This window comes from Homo sapiens, chromosome 14 (genome assembly GCF_000001405.40).
Source record: "Homo sapiens chromosome 14, GRCh38.p14 Primary Assembly".
In the NCBI taxonomy this organism is placed as follows: Eukaryota; Metazoa; Chordata; class Mammalia; order Primates; family Hominidae; genus Homo; species Homo sapiens.
This window is the reverse complement of record NC_000014.9, coordinates 64,111,699-64,134,676: the sequence shown is the minus strand read 5'-3', so window position 1 is coordinate 64,134,676 and position 22,978 is coordinate 64,111,699. Positions and strand designations below refer to the sequence as shown.

General features: G+C 41.8%; 1 protein-coding gene across 29 annotated transcripts in view, besides 2 other annotated features; it reads right to left on the bottom strand.

Annotated features, from left to right (window-relative positions):
• SYNE2 (spectrin repeat containing nuclear envelope protein 2) overlaps nt 1-22,978 on the bottom strand; it is a 464,854-nt gene that overhangs the window by 91,773 nt on the left and 350,103 nt on the right. For 28 of the 29 annotated variants that reach the window (XM_047431152.1, XM_011536576.3, XM_047431149.1 and 25 more), the window contains 13 exons: nt 21,106-21,336; nt 15,068-15,250; nt 13,616-13,750; nt 12,544-12,665; nt 12,250-12,391; nt 9,467-9,598; nt 8,198-8,350; nt 7,870-8,079; nt 6,124-6,225; nt 4,776-4,895; nt 4,429-4,629; nt 2,239-2,412; nt 477-608 (listed from right to left, as the gene is read on the bottom strand). In XM_047431152.1, coding sequence (XP_047287108.1) covers nt 477-608; nt 2,239-2,412; nt 4,429-4,629; nt 4,776-4,895; nt 6,124-6,225; nt 7,870-8,079; nt 8,198-8,350; nt 9,467-9,598; nt 12,250-12,391; nt 12,544-12,665; nt 13,616-13,750; nt 15,068-15,250; nt 21,106-21,336 — 2,037 coding nt within the window. Of the gene's footprint in view, nt 1-476; nt 609-2,238; nt 2,413-4,426; nt 4,630-4,775; nt 4,896-6,123; nt 6,226-7,869; nt 8,080-8,197; nt 8,351-9,466; nt 9,599-12,249; nt 12,392-12,543; nt 12,666-13,615; nt 13,751-15,067; nt 15,251-21,105; nt 21,337-22,978 lie in introns of those variants that run through there. The other variant, XM_047431159.1, reaches the window with a different exon arrangement.
• Nucleotides 19,272-19,567: a transcriptional cis regulatory region, noted in NCBI's record as "silencer region targeted for CRISPR/Cas9 deletion". NCBI's record gives its function as "negatively regulates SYNE2 gene expression in K562 erythroleukemia cells {active_cell/tissue: K562}" and the evidence as "EXISTENCE:knockout evidence [ECO:0001091][PMID:32094911]".
• Nucleotides 19,330-19,517: a silencer, noted in NCBI's record as "fragment chr14:64581878-64582065 (GRCh37/hg19 assembly coordinates)". NCBI's record gives its function as "represses an EF-1alpha promoter that drives an FKBP-Casp9 reporter gene in an ReSE screen, or a PGK promoter in conventional reporter assays, in K562 erythroleukemia cells {active_cell/tissue: K562}" and the evidence as "EXISTENCE:reporter gene assay evidence [ECO:0000049][PMID:32094911]".

Below are 22,978 nucleotides of genomic sequence, written 5' to 3'. Positions count from 1 at the left end.
CTGGTGACAGGTAAGATTATTGTCTGTCTTATGGGCTACGTCTAGTCAGGACTTCACTGTAGGAATAAAACGAAATATATGTTTAGAGGCCGAAGGCTGACAAAGTTCTTTCCATTCTTCAGCTCATTTCCATACTAGTAGCTCACTGGCATTCACTTCCAGAGACAGGTAGAATTGGCTCGATTATCTGCATTCCACAGATAAAGAAATTGAGGCTTAGGGACAGCAAGGTCACAGAAGTGATAAGTGATGGAGCCACGACTCAAGCAAGGTCCTCTCCCCCAAGCCAGACATGTGGTTATGCTAAGGAGTTCACATTCAAATCTGTAGTCTCCCTGAATACATTCAACAGTGAGTTGTATGATGAACATTTTGTTTCAATTCAAACCTTCCAAATCAAGCCACTTAGTCAAAACAAATGTAAAACACAAAGTGCTATGGACACGCCTTTGATAACTTAAATGGAAGACAAATACCTGGTAAAATGAAATCCTTTCCACTAATCTTTCCTCTGTTTCTTCCACCAAACTCACAGAGGGCAATGTAGATATAAGAATTTCCAGGTCCTTTTCAAGAGATGCATAGTTTTCATCAAATTCTTCCCATTTCTAGAGAATCAAGGACATAAAATTAGTGGAAGCCCTTTACCAGATTGGTTCCAGATAACAACATAATTAATCACAAAACAAAAATGAACACCAAGACCATACAAAATTAAAGCACAGATTCCAGGTGTGTTCGAGAGACGTAACCCCACCCTGGTAAGCGCTCAGCATCTAATGGAAAAGAATTCCATCACCTTTGAGGACAAGGTTTAAAAAGAATCTGAGTTGGCATTTAGTGTTTTATGCTTGTCTTGTCAAACTGGGTAACATGACTAAAGGAGTAATACAATGAAGTTAAAATGATACTCTTAGCAACTCCGTAGAGACCTTGGAGCCACAAGAGAGCCTTTCTCTTATTAGGAAAGGGAAAGAGCTAACTTTTAGACCCTTACTCAACAGAAGCTATTAGGCTGCTCCTGCTCTCCAAGCCCACGCCCAAGCCCACCAAACCCCCATGCCACTTGCAGCATAGGTCTGCTCAAGGTGTCTTTGAGGAGTATAGGCTTACACTTCATCAGGGGAGGACAACTGCCTTAGCCCTAGTCTTGTCATCTTTTAGCTTGCCCCGTTTCCATGGATGCCCACCCCGAGGACCCCAACACACCACAGAGCTGAGTTATTGACTCCAAACATTGTCTGTTAGGAAAAGAACCACCTCACTCTTTTCCATATCTATTCACATAGTGGCTCACTTGGCTTTTATAGAACACTCACTGGGTCCATGGAGTCTTTTTTAAAAAATACCATGACATATTATAAATATCAACTTGACACACTAACTAGAAAATAAATTTTGTTAGCAAAAAAAATAACACCATATTACACTATCAAGTTAAACATTTCCTTCCTTTTTTCTTTTTTTTTTTGAGACAGAGTCTCGCTCTGTCGCCCAGGCTGGAGTGCAGTGGTGCAATCTAGGCTCACTGCAAGGTCTGCCTCCCGGGTTCACGCCATTCTCCTGCCTCAGCCTCCTGAGTAGCTGGGACTACAGGCGCCCACCACCACGCCCAGCTAATTTTTTTTTTGTATTTTTAGTAGAGACGGGGTTTCACTGTGTTAGCCAGGATGGTCTCGATCTCCTGACCTCGTGATCTGCCCCCCTCCGCCTCCCAAAGTGCTGGGATTACAGGCGTGAGCCACTGCGCCCGGCCTCCTTCCTATTTTATTTCCTTTAAGTACTAACATTGGCTATGAAAGGTGTGAGGGGAATGCCTCAAAACTGAGAAGGAGCTTTATGCATGCTTATTTTTTTCTTTGAGTTTAGACAAGATTGTCATCCATTTTAGGACATCTGGGCCTGTTCTCTTGAAGAAGTACAGTTTTTAAACCAATAACTGTTTCACCCAAATGATCTCATTCAAGGTCTCAAAGTGCTTATCGTTTTGCTTATTCATACATGAACCTAAAAGGCAGAGAGACGCAGTACCATCCCCAATCTATGTATGAGAAATCCCAGCCAACTTTTCCTTCAGGGAGCGGCCTCAGAACCTGAGCAGGGGTCCACATTCCTCACTGTCAGGCTTCCATTTAACTATAGCTTAATGATAACTAGATACTTCTTCTCAACACCTGGGGTGGTGATGGAAAATCAGCAATTCCCAGCTTCAGTACAACGTTTACATAACCCAAATACCTGCAACAAACTCTGCAGCTTCATACCACATTGGCGTGACTTTTCTTCTAGTATTTTAACTTCTGTTACTTGTTCTGCCCAAAATGTCTCTCTGTTTTGCAATAAAGAAGGAAGTATTTTGGCAGAGTATGCTTGGATCAACAACATGTCAGCAACAAGCTTCTGGAAAAAAACCTATGAGATGGAGAAAGTTTTAATATTTACTTTGAAATTGTGAAAACTCTTAAAAACCAAGTTACTTCAACTTTATATCCAGTTATTTTTGTTTTAAATCCAAAATCCCAGGACATCCGTGTAGAGTCAAATTGACCAGCCTGGCCAAGATGGCAATACAAAAATTAGCTAGGCATGGTGGTGAATGCCCGTAATCCCAGTCATTTGAGAGACTGAGGCAGGAGAATCATTTGAACCCGGGAGGCGGAGGTTGCAGTGAGCCGAGATTGTGCCACTGGACTCCAGCCTAGGTGACAGAGCAAGACTCCCTCTCAAAAAGGAAAAAAAAACAAAAAACAAAAAAACTCAGTCTTTGAACACTAGTGGAACTTCAACAAATTATAAAGTATTACCCTTAGGTGTTATTTTCCACTAAATAATCCATTTTAAATGACAAACATTTTTGTCAATTTCAATTTCCAGATAGATCTTTCTAAATCAGTTGTTTTGAGTCTAAATGCTACAAAAAGATAGATGCCAGCTAGGTGTGGTGGCACACATCTATAGTCCCAGCTACTCAGGAGGCTGAAGTGAGAGGATTGTTTGAGACCAGGATCTCGAGGCTACAATGAGCTATGATTACACCACTGCACTCCAGCCTGGAATACAGAGTGAGACCGTGTCTCTTAAAAAAACAAAAACAAAAACAAAAACAAACAAACAAAAAACAGATGTCACTGTGGCTGATGAATTTCAAGACAAGTTGGATGGACAGATGTGCAAACTCAAGCAACCCACATATTCGAAAGACAGGTCTCCTTAACCCTGGCTTTAACTTCTACTCAAGAGAATGACTAAATAAAGGGAATTTGCTGCTTTATAGGAATCCTGGACATAAAGCTTCCTGTATTTGTATTTGAACTTCAAGAACCTTTCAAGAGGAAGGCTTTATTTCACATGGTTCTTCTCCATTTACAGTTGTCTGGAGGGATCCCTCCATATTATGTGAATCCCTTCTCCTAAGCCTTGAAAAGGACATATACATAGAGACGTTTATAAAAGCATCTAGCAAGGGGCCTAGCACACTGCAGATAATCAATATTATTTTCTCCTCTTCCCCTCCATCCTTCATACAATATTTACCTTTCAATTTTTCTTAGACTAAGCTCTACCTTCCAAATGCTAGACCATAAGCTTACCTCAGGTAGGAACCGTCCTACACATTTTTAATTATCAGCACCTAGATTACTCTTTATCTTTAGTTGGTGATCAAGAAGTTTTTGTTTAATGAAATGAATTTTAAAAATCAAAGGATTTACTATAGTCTTATACTACATAATAACACACTTTCCTTTTGATTCTAGTTCTCAGGAAAGCCTTTTCTTCTTTTTTTTTTTTTTTTGAGATAGAGTCTTGCTGTGTCGCCAGGCTGGAGTGCAGGGGCGTGATCTCAGCTTACTGCAACCTCCGCCTCCTGAGTTTAAGCAATTCTCCTGCCTCAGCCTCCCAGGTAGCTGGGATTACAGGTGCCTGCCACCATACCCAGCTAATTTTTGTATTTTTGGTAGAGACAGGGTTTCACCATGTTGGCCAGGCTGGTCTCGAACTCCTGACCTCAGGTGATCCACCCGCCTCAGCCTCCCAAAGTGCTGGGATTACAAGCATAAGCCACTGCGCATGGCCAGGAAAGCCTTTTCTAACTTTCCTAAGTCACCTTCTGCTATTAAATGCTCTCATAGAATGTATCCTCATTTTAATTTTAAATTTGTTTGAAGACTTGTTGATAAATATCTATCTTCTCAATCAGGTGAAAGCTCTGTGAATGTAAGGAACTGTGTCTGTTTTTACTCATAACCCAAATTCCTAGCATGTACCAGGGTTCCTGGTACACATTAAGCATTCTAATAGATGTTTATTAAAAGAATGAATAGCTTAAATTTCAACAAAGAAGAAAAATGGATCCTTTCTGTTCACATTCAGAAATACCTTAAGATTTTAGTCTATGAAGGGGTCACCCGACCCATGTGTCTGTCTCACCTTGTGATTTTCTATTTGAGCCTGTAACGCCACTTTACTTTTGGTTTGTTTTAAGTGGCCATGAGCAAGCTTTTCCTTCCCAATCTTCACCAGTTCCACCATGCCTTGCAACAAAGCATCTTGCTGGCTCTCAGTGACGAAAGGGCTGCTGAGTTCTGTGTACCTGGCTCTTAGCATTCCCCACATACTGTCAAGTACATCCTGAAAAGAGAAGAGCAGGTGCACACATGCATTTTCATCCAACCGGGGCAATAACTGAAAGACAAATCTAAACTCTGCTGGTGGAAGAAAAGGATCTGGCTCCTCACAATCACAGTGCTGAGTCAATGTTTTCTGCTCAGGCATACCTCTAATTTGTAAACCTCCTGGAGTAAAGCATAAGGTAAATGAAGCCTCTCCCCTTCATCTCTTAGTTTGGCCACTCGGCTCTCGGCGTTCTCCAGCTCCACTGTATATGCATCTGCTTTCTAAGTGAGAGACAATACAAGAAAAGAAAACCCTTCAGTAAGTCAGAGAAGTACACATAGTTATCTAAAAAGAATTAAATAGTACAGAAAGGGATGAAGGGAAAAGCAAAAATCCCAGCTCCCGCTCCCTCACCTCCTGCTCTCCTTAACAATCTTGCCAGAGGTCCCAAGTTCCTAACATGCTCCATACCAGTAGGGGTAGACATGCATATCCCTAAACTCAATGAACTGCACCACAGCATTCTGTCCTGCGGTTAGCATTCCTCACTCACCAGCTCTTCAGCATCTCTTCACATTGGTATACACATATCTAGCTCCTTCGAAACAGACACACAGCATGCTATTGTAAGGGTGTACCCTGCTTTTGTTATCAGTCAGCTCTCAATGGACTTTTGGGCTATATACAGTTTTTAATTCAAGCAGAGCTGCTGGGTCCATCCTTAAATATTTATGACTTATTTATTTATTTATTTAGAGACAAAAGTCTGGCTCTGTCACCCAAGCTGGAGTGCAGTGGCACAATCTCAGTTCACTGCAACCTCCGCCCCCCAAGCTCAAGCAATTATCACACCTCAGCCTCCGGAGTAGGTGGGACTACAGCCGTGTGCCACTGCACCTGGCTAATTTTTGTATTTTCGATAGAGATGGGGTTTGCCATGCTGGCCAGGCTGGTCTTAAATTCCTGGCTTCAAGTGATCCACCTGCCTCAGTCTCCCAAGGTGCTGGGATTACAGGCGTGAGCCACCAACCTGGCCAAAATATTTATCTTTATGCACTTGTCTTATATCCTTAGGAGGAGTACAAGTTCAGCACTTCAAACAGTGCTGGAACATAGTGGATCCTCAATTAATATTTGCTAAATACATGAAGTCAAATTATTGCTGGAAGAGAGAGTATTCATGTTTAAAATTCTGATATACAGACAAAGGATCCCCAGGGCTCCCCTGGCAAGAGGATGAGGGTCTCATTTTCCAATACCCTTACCAACACTGGACATACACATTTTGTCATGGTTGATAAGTGAAAATGGCCTCCTTTTGTTTTAATACATTGTGCTTCAGAAAATTAGGAGATGTTTTTAAAAAGTCAACATAAATAGTTCTCATTTTTTATTTATTTACTTAAGCCTTGCTGCTGCTCACAAAGGAAAGTAGTTCAGAAGCACGGCTTATATGCAAAGCTCTGTGGTTCAAAGTTAAGTCAGTCTGAATTATTTTGACTTGATTACCTGAAGCTGTTCAGCAACACTCTGCCCACTGATTTCATTCAAAGACTGTTGTAAAGATGTCTTACTCTTAATGAGCTGATGATATAATCTCTTTATTTCATTCTGTAAGATAAATGTCGGAAACTGAGCAATCTCATTTAGGCCTTCATTATCTTTTTTTATATTTAGTTGGTTTTTATAATTTTTGTGACACTAGAAATTTCAAACAAATACAAAAATAGAGAAATCCCCATTTTATCATCATTAAACTTCAACAATTATTGATTCATGGCTGACCTTCTTCCCTCTACATCCTCCCTCCAGCTCTCAACTGTACCTAATCTCCTTTCCTTCAGGCTATTTTGAAGCAAATCCCAGGTCTCAAGTCATTTCATCAGTATACGTTTCAGTATATATTTCTAAAAGATAAAGATCCTTCTCTTTACTCCAACATACTCCTCCCCTGCCATCAATAATAATTCCTTAATATGATTTAACTATCCAGACAGAATTCACATATCCCTAATTGCCTATAATTTTTCTTTTTGATTTGTTTCAATGATGATCCAAATGAGGTCCACATGTCATGATGGATAAATACATCTTAGATCTCTCTTAACCTGCAGAATCCCTGACCACTTTTTTTGTTTCTTGAATGTGTGTATGTGAAAAAATGGGTCATTTGTTCAGTACAGTTTCCCACAGGCTGGATTTGGCAGACTGCACTCCCAGTGTGCTGTTTAACCTGTTCTTCTTTTCTTGTGTCTGTTTTACTTGGATTCTAGCAGCTTGGTCAGATTCAGGCTTGATTTTTATGGGCAAGCCTCATTCATAAATAGTATTGGGTTTCATTTCTTTTTCATTAGATAATTTTAGTAGCTTCCTAACTCTTCTACCTGCCTGGAGTCTCTGCCTCTCCAATTCACTTTAGACAACTGCTGGAGGAATCTACCTGAAACATACACGGATTGTCATTCCTTAGCTCAAAAACCTTAATGGCTCCCTCTAGCTAGAAAAACAAAAACAAATGCCTCCCCCGCCCCACCATTTTAATTGTTAAATGGCTAAATGTAATACAAGAAATGAAACATTATTTTAGCTCATCCTAACAAATTCTTACTCAAGACTCTACTTTTTTTATTTTTTATTTTTTTACTTTTTTCTTTTTTTGAGATGGGATCTATGTTGCCCAGGCTGGTCTTGAACTCCTGGGCTCAAGCAATCCACCTACCTAGGCCTCCCAAAGTGCTGGGATTACAGGCATGAGCTACTACGCTCGGTCAAGACTTTAAAGGGCTTCACCTTTTTTTTTTTGAGATGGAGTCTTGCTCTGCCGCTCAGGCTGGAGTGCAGTCGTGTGATCTCAGCTCACTGCAACTTCTGCCTCCCAGGTTCAAGCAATTCTCCTGCCTCAGCCTCCCAGGTAGCTGGGATTACAGGCACACACCACCATGTCCGGCTAATTTTTGTATTTTTAGTAGAGATGGGGTTTCACCATGTTGGCCAGGATGGTCTCAATCTCCTGACCTCAGGTGATCCGCCTGCCTTGGCCTCTCCCAAAGTGCTAGGATTACAGGCGTGAGCCACTGCACTCGGCCAGGGCTTCACTTTCAAATGATCTCCAACCATGAGCAACAAACAGAAGAGTCTCATCATTTCCCTTAGCAATTCTTATTAACAAATGTCACCAGGAATAGGAATAGGCATTAGGGGTTCATGCTGTAACTTAAAACAGTGCCAAAATAGGCTGTGTGCTCGGAATCATACCTGGTAACTGCGGTTGTAATCGAGGCCAGCTTTCAGGGACTTGCTTCTACAGACAGCTGCAGCCTGAGTGTGCTCCAGGCAGACTTGAAGGTTGTCAAAACATTCAAGGAGCAAGTTGGTGTTCTCGCCAGGCCAAGTCATGGCTTTCAAAAGATCACCCTTCTTGTCACTTAGCGCTAAATAAAGTTTCTTCAACTCAAGAGCCAGCGTCTGGAGTGGAGAGGAAGGAAGACAATGAATGAGCTCTGACCTCAAGAGGCTTCCACGTGGGCTTAACTCACGGGGCTGCTGTAATGGCCAACACATGGGCTCGTGAGAAGTGCCCTACCTCGTAGTGCACCTGCTGGCCAGAACCATCCTCCCTGTAAAGTCTGGGCATCTCCAGCATCTCCTCCACACTGCTGAGGCACTGACTGAGGGTCAGGAATAGTTCAAACAATTTTTTATCCAAATTGATATATGCTTCTTCTGTCATATTTTCCTGAATCAAGAGGAAAAAAGAAAAAGAAAATTAAGATACCTTTGCCTTCCTAGACCTATATTTTGCCTAGTTTCCATTATAGTTTATGATTTATGTTATGCTTCTTTTGTAATAAGTTGCTTCAAACGCTTTGTGAACTAGGTAGCAGAACAAATAAATAAACTTACGATGTTAAACTTGGAGAAAAATGAGTTTAAGAAGCTCAACGTTAGGTAGTTATTTGAGTACTGCATGGAACTAAAAGGTAAATCATGAGATGAAGGATCCCTTAGCAGGGCGATCCAGGTGAAAGTGTGGTCCCAGATAAATTACACTGTCTCCTTTACCACTGTTTCCCACCCTCCACATTCTAATGTAGGAGAAAGCGGTTAATGAAATCAAGTATAGCTGGGAGAAGGAAAAGAAGTCACAAAAGAGAAGCTTGAAGGGGTTGATTACAAAGAGGAGGTACAGTGTCTTAAAAACAGGAGCAGGCTGCAGAGGAGGGGGAAAGTGTCATTTATGAGCCGATTGTGAGAATCAAGGCTTAGGTGTATGACTCCAAGCACGTCCCCAGTGTCATGCATTGCGCCTGGTGAGTCTGGGAGCCACAGATCTGTTTTAGCATAAGCTGCTGGGGCCACCTCTTTTTCTTTACCCACAGTTACCCTGAATTCTTGAACAGTTATAAGTAGTTTAGGAGCATGCCATAGCTAGTCATCACTCCAACTTGGGCCCTGTCTCCTACTATCTTCTCTGATAGACACCTCACATAACCTAGCATTAATTACCTCAGTATTAAGTCTGCTCAGGGTTGAAAACCATGCCTATACTCCCTCCCTACTCTCCTCTTCACCCTTCCAATCCCAGATCACCACTGCAGACGGCACTCATCAATCATGATCCTCTTTCCTGCTGATCCTGGACTCAGAATCCTTTGCACACAGTCCCTAGGGAACCACTACAAAATATATTAGAGTTGGCAAGCAAGATCAATTCAATTTGCAATCCTAGGACCCATTCCATTATGTGTTCCATGACTTGTTCAGTGACGACAATTATGACCAAGTCACAATGATGATATCTCCTTTGTTTATGTTATTACAATGAGGAAAACACATTGTGTGCAGCTTCTACCTGTGTCTGAAGGTTACTTGCTTCTTGGCGCAGGTCTTCAAGTTGGGTGGTATAGGTTTTCAGTTCTTCAGTTGTTGGGTATCTAAAGTTATACATAGTCACGCTGGGTAGAATACCCATATTTGTGGAAACCTATTTGACAAAGGAAAACCCTATTACTGACAGTTTTAGACCCTGCTGATGTTAATTAATTTATTTTTTTATTTTCGAGATGGAGTCTTGCTCTGTCGCCCAGGCTGGAGTGCAGTGGCATGATCTCCTCTCACTGAAACCTCTGTCTCCCATGTTCAAGAGATTCTCCTACCTCAGCCTCCCGAGTAGCTGGGATAACAGGTGCCTGCCACCATGCCCGGCTAATTTTTGTATTTTTAGTAGCGACGGGGCTTTGCCATGTTAGCTAGGCTATTCTTGAACTCGTGACCTCAGGTGATCCACCTGCCTCAGCCTCCCAAAGTGCTGGGATTACAGGCATGAGCCAACATGTCCAGCCTGCTGATATTAATTTAAATAGAAAAAGATGCCTTAGCATGCTGTCTTCTGAGCCACTTTCTTGGTGAACATTTTTGTCTATCTTGCCATTTATAAGAAAAAACAATTAAGTTTTAATATTTTGGACAGCTTTGAAAAGTCATGACTAGTTATATTTAGATACTTGAGGTTTCATTTAGATATCAAAATGAGAGGAAAGGCTGGGCTTAGTGGCTTATGCCTATAATCCTAGTACTTTGCAAGTAGAGGTGGGAGGATTCCTAGAGGCCAGGAGTGCAAGGGAGTTCAAGACCAGCCTGTACAACATAACAAGATACATTCTCTGCAAAAAAAAAAAAAAAAAATTATACAAAAATTTTTAAAGTAGCTGGTCATGGTGCTGCACACCTGTAGTCCTAGCTACTCGGAAGGCTGAGGCAGGAGATCGTTTGAGCCCAGGAGTTCAAAGCTATAATGAGTTTTGGTCATGCCACTGCACTCCACCCTGGGTAACAGCGAGAACCCGTCTCTTTTTTTGAGACGGAGTCTCGCTGTTGTCACCAGGGCTGGAGTGCAATGGCACAATCTCAGCTCACTGCAACCTCTGCCACCTGGGTTCCAGCAATTTTCCTGCCTCAGCCTCCCAAGTAGCTGAGATTACAGGTGCCCACCACCACGGCCAGCTAATTTTCGTATTTTTAGTAGAGATGGGGTTTCACCATGTTGACTAGGCTGGTCTTGAACTCCTGACCTCAGGTGATCCACACGCCTCAGGCTCCTGAAGTGCTGGGATTATAGGCGTGAGCCACTGCACCTAGCTGAGACCCTGTCTCTTAAAAAAAAAAAAAAAAGGTGGTGTGTGTGTGTGTGTGTGAAATCATTAATCTTTCAGTTTAGTAATAACAACATTCACGCTACAGGGCTAGCTGCTTATTTACCAGTTTACTTTTGACACAGCCAACTATTAGAATAGAATTCAAGTCTCTTCTAAGGGATGGGTTTGCATCTTGATTTGTTATTGAAAAGCTAAATAAGTACTGAAAATGAGCTGTGATTTCAGAAGGGTGAATGATTCAGAATTAGCTCCTTTCTCAAACTGGAAAGCTGACAAATAAAATGAAACAGGGTGAGGTGGTAGATGACTCTGCTTGGGGAAAGAACTAATAATGAGTGGAGTTCTCCTGTTTGCAAGAGACCTATGTACACGTTACAGTGTAATATGGAGAAACCAAGGTTAAGGGCCAACTGATGAGTTTGATTGAACTTTAATTGGTCAAATAAGGTCCTTAGCGGGAAAGAGGACAGCTGAGAAGTCCTATCAGACTGGGAAATTGGGAAATCACGGGTAACCTTTGCCCAGGCAATGTGAGTATGTGGTGGAAGGCAGAAGCCTGCCTTGTGCGCAGTGGGGCTGTTTTGCTCACCTGCTCCCTGTCTGGAGAGAGACAGTAGTGACTGACACAGCAAGCCAGCCTGATAGAGCCTGTGACGGCAGTGATAAGGAGGGCCAATCACAGGGAACACCGATTGGCCAGTGCCATCGGCACAGGCGTTGGCACATGGTAGATTCCAAAGAATTTTCTGATGAATGAATGACACTCATTGTAGCGCTGTATAGTTTTTAAAGTGTTTTTTTTTTTTTTGAGACGCAGTTTCACTCTCGTTGCCCTGGCTGGAGTGCAATGGCGCGATCTCAGCTCACCATAACCTCCGCCTCCCAGGTTCAAGCAATTCTCCTGCCTCAGCCTCCTGAGTAGCTGGGATTACAGGCATGCACCACCACGGCCAGCTAATTTTGTATTTTTAGTAGAGACAGGGTTTCTCCATGTTGAGGCTGGTCTTGAACTCCTGACCTCAGGTGATCCACCTGCCTCAGCCTCCCAAAGTGCTGGGATTACAGGCGTGAGCCACCGCGCCTGGCCAAGTGTTTCTTAAAATACATATTCATTCCTTTATTCATTCAACAAACAGTAACTGAGAGTCTGTGATGTCCTAGGTACGGTGCTTGGCACTCAAATGCAAACCAGGCAGACATGATCTGTCTTTCTTCCCCATCTAATGGGGAATACAGACTATAAACAAACAGGCGGATAGTTGTTATAAATAACAGCTCTGATGAGGGAAGCCCTGGGTGCTACAGAAGCACAAAGGAAGGGTTCCTAATGCAGGTTTCCAAGATCAAGAAAATGTATCAGCCAAGTAAAAAACTCACTTGGCAACTTTGCTTTCTGGAGAATATACATGTTTATTTAATGAATGCTTGTTGGATTTTCAAAGATAAACAGGCTATTTGCACCATGTAGATACAGACTGACCTGAGGCTCCACAAGCTGAGGGAGTGGGAGCTTTATTTTTGATGAGAGTTCATGATGCAGATATTGCCACTTATCTCCATTTTGGCCCTGGGGTGACAAGATCGAGTCTGGAACGTCATTTTCAGGGCTGGATGCCTGGTTGCTTTTGAAGAAGAACAAAAGGTGAAGAGAATAATCAACACTAAACATTTTGTATTACATTCACAGTTCTATGAGCAATTTTTAAAAGAAACACTCTTAATTCTCCCAGTCATAAAACCACTGAATGACCAACTCTATTTTTAAATGTTTTACCTTGCAGATGATTCCTGAGTTGTATCGTTATCATGTTGGCAATACTGGGGCCACATTTTCTTAGCATTAAATTCTATGAATTTGATGAAATCTTTCTGTTCCATTGGTTTTAACTCCAGAACCTGTAATTGAATGAGATTCAAATGGTCCAATCCATCAAGCTTTTCGATTAGTACCCACTAGTTTCCTCTGCTGAGATAAATCTAATTTTGAGCCAGTTCCTAAATCATTAATTACTATTTCTCTTTCTTGCATTCCTGTTCTTGTAAACTCTCACTTCCCAAAAACCTATTTAAAATATTCACACAATAACTGTTATTTAAACCGCATACATGGAAAATCATCAAAGACATACAAACACATTTTGAAAAGACAGGCAAAGCAGAGTCGCAACTACAGAAGTTCACCCTGAAGACAGCTGATATAAGATGTAAGTTAATAAAGGAGCAAAGTTATGGTGTCCCCAGTGTTAGCAGCTGAAAGCAAAGCAGATGCTATGGTAAATGCTGAAAACTCTCAGAGTTTCTGCACACACACAAACACCCACATGCCACACTTTGCAGAAATTCCATATAGAAAGCTTTTTTTTGTTTGTTTGTTTTTGTTTTTGGAGACATGGTCTCACGCTATCACCCCAGGTTAGAGTAGAGTGGTGTGATCTTAGCTCGCTGCAACCTCTGCCTCCTGGATTCAAGTGATTCTTGTGCCTCAGCCTCCTGAGTAGCTGGGATTACAGGCTTGCACCACCATGCCTGGCTCATTTTTTTGTATTTTTAGTAGAGCTAGGGTTTCACCATGTTGTCCAGGCTGGTTTCGAACTCCTGACCTCAAATGATCTGCCTGCCTCAGCCTCCCAAAGTGCTGGGATTACAGGCATGAGCTACTGTGCCTGGCCTTTTTTTTGGTTTTTGAAACAGGGTCTCGCTATGTTGCCCAGGCTGGCCTCGAACACCTGGCCACAGGTGATCCTCCCACCTCAGCCTCCCAAGTAGCTAGGACTGTAGGTTTGCACCACCTTGCCTGGTTAAAAAGTTATATTCTAGTCCCTACAACTGTTGGGGGCTAGAATTACCTGTTGCTGCTGGAAATCTTTTTGTCTGCTGAATTGTGGCCTTTCAGTTACAATGGATTCCAATTCAGAAAGGTTAACTGGTTGGAGAGCTTCTTGATGCTCTGGCTCTGAGGATTTCTTTAGAATGGTAGGATGCTGCAAAACATTTCATAATGGCAGGCTATTTATTTTTAAAAATAAACTCCACTTTATCTCAATTCTAATAATGGGACTACATAGAAAAATTTTACATGAAATAAATGATGGTATTTTGTTATTTGCTATAATTATATACTATAATTTTTTGTTTTTGTTTTTTGAGATGGAGTTTCGCACTTGTTGCCCAGGCTGGAGTGCAAGGGCATGATCTTGGCTCACTGCAACCTCCACCTCTTGGGTTCAAGGGATTCTCCTGCCTCAGCCCCCCAAGTAGCTGTGATTGCAGTTGTGCCCACCACACCCAGCTAATTTTTGTATTTTTAGTGGAGACGGGGTTTCACCATGTTGGCCAGACTGGTCTCAAACTCCTGACCTCAGGTGATCTGCCTGCCTCAGCCTCCCAAAGGGCTGGGATTACAGGCGTGAGCCACCACACCCAGCCTACTATGATTTAATGTACCTATTTCATAACAACTTCAAAAACTACTACATTTGGTGAAGTGATCATCTTACTTCTTCAAGCTAATTCATCCAATGAATTACTAAAAGCAAGAAAATGTATTGCCTTTTTTCTTAAAAACAAATACCAAATAAAAAAGTACCAAAAAGAGAAACAGTATTATAAATTCAAATTTCCCCTATGGCTAAAATACATTTTTTTTAAAAAGAGAGAACATATTAGGATGAAAGGGGAACCATATGGCCTATGTATCTGCAGCCAGTCTTATTTCTGTGAACATAAATCTCTAAGTAGGAACCACTCATAAGCACATGCAAATCTTTTATAGTAAGATCTACTCATAAGATGCACATTTGCATTTATAAACACAGAGTGCTTTTAAAAATCATGAGAACACTTTATATGATACTTTGATTATATATATAAATACTTGCAAATGAATAACAAAGTATCCTGGAAACAGGTTTATGTTTCTGATGTCAAATTTTAGTCACATCTATGAAAGCTTTGTTTTCCAGTCAATTAGAGTCACAAAATTCCTTTATAATACATCCTTCTTTTACGAAGAAGCCTTACACTAGACCTCACTGCCAACAAGAACACTCAGCTACATTAAACCAACACAAACCAAACCACCGCCATCACCAACAACAACCTAGACAGGAAAACTGCAAAGTAGAATGAAATAAAAATAACAAGCCAGTGTACTCATCTATGGTGTTAATGTGTGAAATTCTTTCACACTTAGTACAGTTTCTCTGTAGCTGGTTCATCACTTCCAACCAGAGTTCTCTTCTGGCAGGTCTGCCACATATGTGTATCAAGATGAATGTCCATAGATAGTCATTTTTTACCTGATCTTCACTGTGCTTCTCCTGAAGCATCATCTGGACTTTTTCTAAATTGCACTTCACTGTTTTCAGTTTCAGGGAAAGCGCTTCAGCCTCATGTTGAGTGGCTCCATTATCTCCCAGGCCCTGATCTTTGCAAGTCTCTAACAGAAAGGCAACCTTGTGCTCAATCTCTGTTAGCATAGCCTAGGAAATAAAAGCATTTAATTATTCATAATGTTGTTCTTGAAGAAGTATTGTGCCTGCAAACAAGTTAAGACTTACTCTTTTTACTTAAGTGTATACAAGAAGTCCCAGAAACACAGGATGGAAGAAACCCTGGAAAAACAAAAACTTCCACAGAATTCTTGTACTTTTCAGTAGGGATGCAACCAAACCAATCCCAATTACACATGTCACTCTGTAAAATAATTTAAGTAAATGACTCTATAGTCGCCTTACAAAACATAGCAGAATGTATCCAGCAGAGGATAGTGGTTAAGAACACAGATCTTGGAACTAGACTATCTGGTTTCAGATCCCAGTCCTACCACTTAGTAGATGTGTAAACACAGGCACCTTACTTTAGAGGAGTGTGCCTCTAGTAGTCTGTAAAATGAAGATAATAACCGAACTCACCTCCTAAGGTCATTATCAGGAGTGAATGAATTAAATCCATGTACTTTGGCCAGTGCTTGATACATCTGTGCTTAAAAAGTGCAGATATTCTTATTTTCCCCCTACCTTCCTAATCTTTTTTTTTTTTTTTTTCTGAGACGGAGTCTCACTCTGTTGCCCAGGATAGAGTGCAGTGGTGTGATCTCGGCTCACTGCAACCTCCACCTCCCAGGTTCAAGTAATTCTCCTGCCTCAGCCTCCCGAGTAGCTGGGATTACAAGAGTGCGCCACCACGCCCAGCTAATTTTTGTATTTTTAGTAGAGATGGCGTTTCGCCATTTTGGCCAGGCTGGTCTCAAACTCCTGACCTCGTGATCTGCCCACCTAGGCCTCCCAAAGTGCTGGGATTACAGGCATGAACCACCATGCCTCGCCTACCTTCCTAATCTTTTATGTTGCAATCCAAGTGTGGAGTAGGAATTTAAAAAAGAATTCCACGTAACTGTTTGAAAATTATTTCCCTTGCTCTTTTCCTTCTCTTTCTCAAGACAAATAAGCCTCCAAACTCTCACAACACCATAGAAGAAATAATTTGGAACCTGAAATATTTAGTTATTGATACAACCGGCCAATTCACACAAATCTAAAAATATATCAGCTGGATGAAGTAAGTTTCCCAGTAAGTCTCGGTCATTGTATTCCTGCTCAACAGATCAAGTTTGCCCTCTCCTGGGGCTCAGCAGCCTGCTCGGTCATGCCAGCTGGCTGGGCACTCACGTCAGCAGCAACAGACAAACTCACATTCCAGCACCATGATCATTTGTACTAAAACTCGGTGCGTGACTAAGAACAAGTTCCATTCATTGAGCGAATTTAAGGAATTAAAAATTTTCCTTAAGGACGAACTCTATTCTTAAAACAAAATTGCAAATAATTTATCCTATAACTCCTTCATCCAAGCAAGCTGTAACAGGCCCCTTTATCTATGCTTTTACTTTCTGTGGTTTCAGTTACCTGCAGTCAATCAGGGCTCAAAAATATTAAATGGAAAATTCCAGAAATAAATAATTCATACATTTTAAATTTTGCACCACCTGAGTAGCGTGATAAAATTGCACACCATCCTGCTCCATCCCGCCCAGGATGTGAATCATCCCTTTGTCCAGCATATTCATACTCCAGCACTCGGCTCATTAGTTACTTAGTAGAGGTTGAGTATACCTAATCTGAAAATCCAAAATCCCAAAATGCTCCAAAACCTGAAACTTTTTATGCACCATGCCAGAAGTGGAAAATTCCACACCCAACCTCATGTGATGGGTCACAGTTGAACTCTGTTTCATGTATAAAATTATTAAAGTTATTATATAAAATAACCTTCAGGATATGTATATGAGGTATAGATAAAACATAAATTGAGGCCTAGCATGGTGGCTCATACCTGTAATCCCAGCACTTCGGGAGGCTGAGGCAGGAGGCTCACTTGAGGCCAGGAGTTTGAGACCAGCCTGGGCAACACAGTGAGACCCTGAGTCTACAAAAAATAAAATTAGCCAGGCATGGTGGTGTACGCCTGTAGTCCCAGCTATTCCGGAGACTGGGGCAGGAGGATTGCCTGAGCCCGTCAGGTCAAGGCTGCAGTGAGCCATGATCATGCTACTGCACTCCAGCCTGGGTAACAGAGCAAGACCCTGTTAACTCTAATATAAATAAAGAAATTAATTAATTAATTTAGTGTTTAGACTTGGGTCCTCTCTCTAAGATATCTCATTATGTATTTGCAAATATTCCAAAATCCCTCCCAAAAAACCAAATGCAAAATACTTCTAGTTCCAAGCATTTGGGGATAAGGGATACTCACTCTGTAGCCATCTCAGTTGTCAGATCGAAAAAACATAATACACACAGAGTTTGGTACTATCCACGGTTTCAGGCATCCATTGGGGGTCTTGTAACACAACCCCCACAGACAAAGGTGGGACTACTCTACTTATGTCCTCTATAGATTCTTCTAAGTTTAAACAATATGTACCCATAGACTGTACAGTGGCTATAAACAAAATGTAGCATAATTTTATGCTCTGTTTTTCCCACTTAACTATTACATACTTTTTCATCTGTCTCCACACGTTTCATGATTTTCATTTTAACAGCTACAAGTTGATATCCCATGATTCACTTACCAATTTCCCTCTTGTTACCCCTTTGTTTCTAGTTCTTCACTTTTGTAATCAATGCTTCTATAATTATTTTTCTCATTTGGGATTATTTTCAGAAGGTAAATTAAAAGTAATGGTACTGGCCGGGCACGGTGGCTCATGCCTGTAATCTCGGCACTTTGGGAGGCCAAGGCAGGTGGATCACCTGAGGTCAGGAGTTCGAGATCACCCTGGCCAACATGGGGAAACCGTTTCTACTAAAAATACAAAAATTAGCCAGATGCTGTGGTGCATGCCTGTAATCCCAGCTACTTGGGAGGCTGAGGCAGGAGAATCACTTGAACCCAGGAGGCAGAAGTTGCAGTGTGCCGAGACTGTGCCACTGCACTCCAGCCTGGGTGAGAGCGAGACTTCACCTCAAAAAAAAAGTAATGGTACTTTTAACTCAAAGAAGATGAACAGCTTATATGTTGACAACTGACCTCCCAAAACATTGAGCCAATTAGATAGAACTACCAGACATTAGAGTATCTATTTTTCCAGAATGATATTTTTTTAATGTAATGTGACAGCTGTTTTAATTTATGTCTTTAATAATCAAAATTAAACAATTCTCAAATATTACATTACTAAGCATAATCCTCCCTCCCTCCCTCCCTCCCTTCTTTCCTTTCTCTTTCTTTTTTTTGACAGTGTCTTACTCTCTTGCCCAGGCTGGAATGCAGTGGTGCAATCATAGCTCACTGCAGCCTTGAATTCTTGGGCTTAAGAGATATTAGTGCCTCAGCCTCCCAGGTAGCTGGGACTACAGATACACACCACCATGCCCAGCTAGTTTATTTTTTAATTTTTTTTTAAATTATTTTGTAGAGACAAGGTGTAACTATGTTGCCCAGGCTGGTCTCAAACTCCTGGCCTCAAGCAATCCACCCGCCTTGGCCTCCCAAAGTGCTGGGATTACAGGCGTGAGCCACCACTCCTGGTCCATAATCTTCACTGAACTGTTTGCTCCTGTCCTTTGGCCATTTTTCCACTGGAATTTTGTGTTTTTACAGACCACTTTAAGGTTTTTATATGTTTCAATAATAACTTTATTGTGTTATGTTATATAAATGAGCCAAAGATGCCTTTGTATGTTGGCCCCATGTGGTTTTTCTTCAAAGCAGGTCAGAAGCAGTAAGTTCAAAAAGTGCCAGCACCAGACTCAAATTTTTACACATTTGACGGCTTTAAATGCAGCCCAAATAAGCATATTTTAATCCATTTAGAGCCTGTCTGCTTTGCATACCCCTGAAAACTGCACCCAACATCTGCCAGCCACGGATAAGACTAACCCTGGGCTATAAAAAAATCCCAAGCCTCTGCTGCCCTTCGGCGCTCTCTGACCCAGAGACCCTCCACTGTGCTGAGACATCGCTAGACACATAAGTTCCCTCTCCGTTTCTCCTCTCCCCTGGGAGTTCCCTTGCCTTCCTCCCCCTCTGGGTGGTGGCCTGACCCCCAGTCTATGCCTTAGCCTCTGGAAGGTCTCCTGCAGTAAAGAGCTTCCCTGTCTCTCACGATCATAATCTTGCCAAAATGCTGCCCAAATAAAGCTTGTTGGGTGCAACTGCCACCTGGTAGTCATGTCTTTTCCTTGAGCAGCCTGGAAATCCTTGAACTCACTACAAGTGGCAATGAAGATGGGATTCTGGTGATAATCAACGAGTTGGCATAGGGTCTACCCAGTCAGTAGATAATCAGTTGGCAAATCAATCCTGAATGGCCTTAAGTGGGTGGGACTCAAAATCTGGACTGCCTCGAGTTGAGTTTAGCATAGCATTGCTCTGTGCTGTATGACGCTCTATGGCATTCACAGGCTCCCCTGGGCCTCATCAGCCAGGCCAAGCGGCAGTGCCAGTATCTGAGTGAACCTATCCCTTTAGAACTGACTTTTGGGCTGGGCATGATAGCTCACGCCTGTAATCCAGCACTTTGGGAGGCTGACTTGGGTGGATCGCTTGAGCCCAGGAGTTCGAGACCAGCCTGGGCAATATAGTGAGACCTCTCATCTCTACAAAAAAATACAAAAAGTAGCCGGGTGTGGTGGTGCAGGGCTGTAGTCCCAGCTACCCAGGAAGCTGAGGTGGGAGGATCACCTGAGCCCAGGAAGTCGAGGCTGCAATGAGCTATGATTGCTCCACTGCACTCCAGCTTGGGTGACAGGGTGAGACCCCGAAAAAAAAAAAAAAGAACTGACTTTTGAGATCAGAGGTGCCGAGATGCACAGAAAAGGAGGCTGGCCTGTCTGTCTGGTTCCTGGATGTTGTTAAGACTATGGGCTTACATAGAAGGGGAGAATGCACAACTGTGGATCAAAGGCAGGCTTCCCACAACAACATAACAGGCTACAGCAGGAAACGCTCCCTGTGGCAGGGCTAGTGATATGCGAACTCTGAGACAAGAGGATGTCTTCATCCTGGCAGACAAGCCCATATGATAAAGACAAGTCTGGTCTCCTAAGTGCAGCTGGGAGAGAGGCCTTTGCAAGCAGCTCGCGTGCCCCTGCTCTTGTGACACTCGATTATGCTGTTGCAATGTCATCATTCTAGCCTCTCCCTGGAGGGATTAGAAACCCCAACCTTCGGGCTGAGCCGGCAAGCTTTACTCAGAGCGACTAGCGGCAAGGAAGTTTATATCCCTGCCCCTCCCAAGCAAAACCCAGGGCATTCCTAGTAAAATGGTTGCAAAGCCCTTTTATGCTGTATCTTCAATTTTGCAAATTAATACTTTTGGTTTCATTTATGATGAATGAATATTCTAATTACTTACTAAAATTGAATAAAATAATAGCATTTACTGAGCACTTGTTATATACTTTATATACCTATTTAATCCTGACAAAAATCCTATGAGATAACTTTATATCCTATGACACTGCTTTAAATACCTTATTTAAATCCTGCGACACTACTTTAAATACCTTATTTAATCCTGACAAAAATCCTATAAGATAACCTACTATATAAGGAAAATGAGGCTGAGAAGTTCACTTCCCGAAGTTCACAGCTAATGTGACAGAGCTGGATTTAGACTCCTAGATTCTGAACACTACTGTCCCCTCAAATAAGATAGTTCCATAAAGCATTTCAAAGAATTACCCTGAGAACTAAAAGCTGAGGCCAAGATAAATGTAAGGGTCAGAGTAACAGAAAGAAAAACAGTGTTGCTTTAAGAGAAATTCACCCAATCTTGGCAGATGATTGGTGGAGAGGCAAACCATGAACTCTGACTTCTCAGTCTTACCTGGCACCCTACCAGCTGCTGTTCCAGCACCTGCTGCATGTCTGCGTTTAATGTTTCCGGCTCAACTGCCACGTTGGCTTGTTGCAGCCACAGCTCCAGCTCGGCCACCTGGGTCTTGCAGGCATGCAGGACTTCTGTGGGCTCCGGCCTAGTTTTCTCCACCCTGGGCTCCAAACCTCCTTGCGCGTCAGAAGAGTCCAGAGTGTCAGCCTCAATAGGAGGTGTGGTGCCCTAAGAGAAATCCAAAGATAAGCCAGGGAGTCCAAAGTTTTCAGACTTGGGCCTGCAAAGACCTGGGAACCTGCAACATTTCCCCAGTTAAAAGAAACAAAATCAGGACAGAAGAAGGAAGAAAGAAAAGAGAAATGCACCTCCACACTCATAGCAACAATCACGTGACCTGGTGCCACAGGTTTCCAAGCAGCCGATCTGCGAGTAAGCAGGTACAGTATTCCCGGGCACAGAGGACGCAAACAGGCTCACAGTTCACTACCCGGTGAGCCCCAGGAGACAGGTGAGAATGTGAGTGACAGGGTGTGTGTGTGTCCGAAACATTTAAGGGAATTGGCCAGTGTTTAGCGTTACGTGACACATGATTAAGCAATGCTTACATTGCTGCACACTCTATTCCAACAGAAAAACAAAACAAAACAGAACACGATCTTTACCTCCCAGCAGGGATACAATAAAATATACCACATAATTTTAACTTGACATCTTCTCAAATAGTTAGATTATAAAAATTTTAGCTTTTTAAAAACATACATGGTATTACTTATCTAAATTTTTCCCTAATAAAAACAGCTTGAGTCAAGTAATGAACTTCAGTGGGGTAACCTGGAAACTTTTTTCCTATTCCTCAGAAGGAATCCCTAAAATACCTTCCTTCCCCTTCTGCATACTCGAATATGATTGAGTTAAGGACTAGATGCTCACAGTATAAAGAAAGTGTGGTGTGTTCTTTTTACATTGAAATAACTGGGTTGTTTATCAACTGATTGGAAAATTTTCTCCCAGATACCAAATGAAAGTATTCCAGTAATTATATATTAGATATGTTCAACCTGGAGGCAAAAGATAATTGGATAGAGAGATGTATTTACCTCCCACTGTATTATCTATCCTTCCTCAGAATATGGAAAAAGTAGTATCGATACTTCTAGAGAAATTCCTTTAGGAATAAGGATTTGTGTTTTGCTGTATAAACCTTTTGCTCTCAAAAAATATTTTATTGATTATGATAAAATACAATGTTTTCTATAAGAGTTTGTTAACGTGTTAGCATCTAATAATAAAATGTAATTCTAGCCAAGTGACAAACTTTGAATGGGAATCGATTGCAAATATATACCCTAACTCAAATGCACATTCTTCAATGTTTACGGAATTTTGTTTAGACATAGAACTTTCAGTGTAAAAGAGCGAACAAAATTGGTAGGTGGTAACAAACACGTGTCAGGCATGAGAATGCTGTTCATTTTCATGCACACTGATGAGTATTATGAAAGCTGGTCTGGCACAAGTGTCTTGGGTTGTACTTTTTACCTTTCACCATCTATTATCTTCACATACATGTGCTGTTTTCTGCCAAAATGCCATTTCTTCCCTGCCTTCATTAATCTATTATTATAATTTTCTTCAAGAATCTTGAAAACCTTCTCAAGGAAACTTTTCCTTGTGTTGTGCTTTTTCTGAACTTCATATATAGTCAAGTCTATGCTTGGATTCAACTGTTTTAATTTTCTTTTTTAATCCTGACCTTTTTTTTTCTTCTTGGGAAGAGTTTCCCTCTGTCACCCAGGCTGGAGTACAGTGGCATGATCTCGGCTCACTGCAACCTCCGCCTCCCAGGTTCAAGTGATTCTCCTGTCTT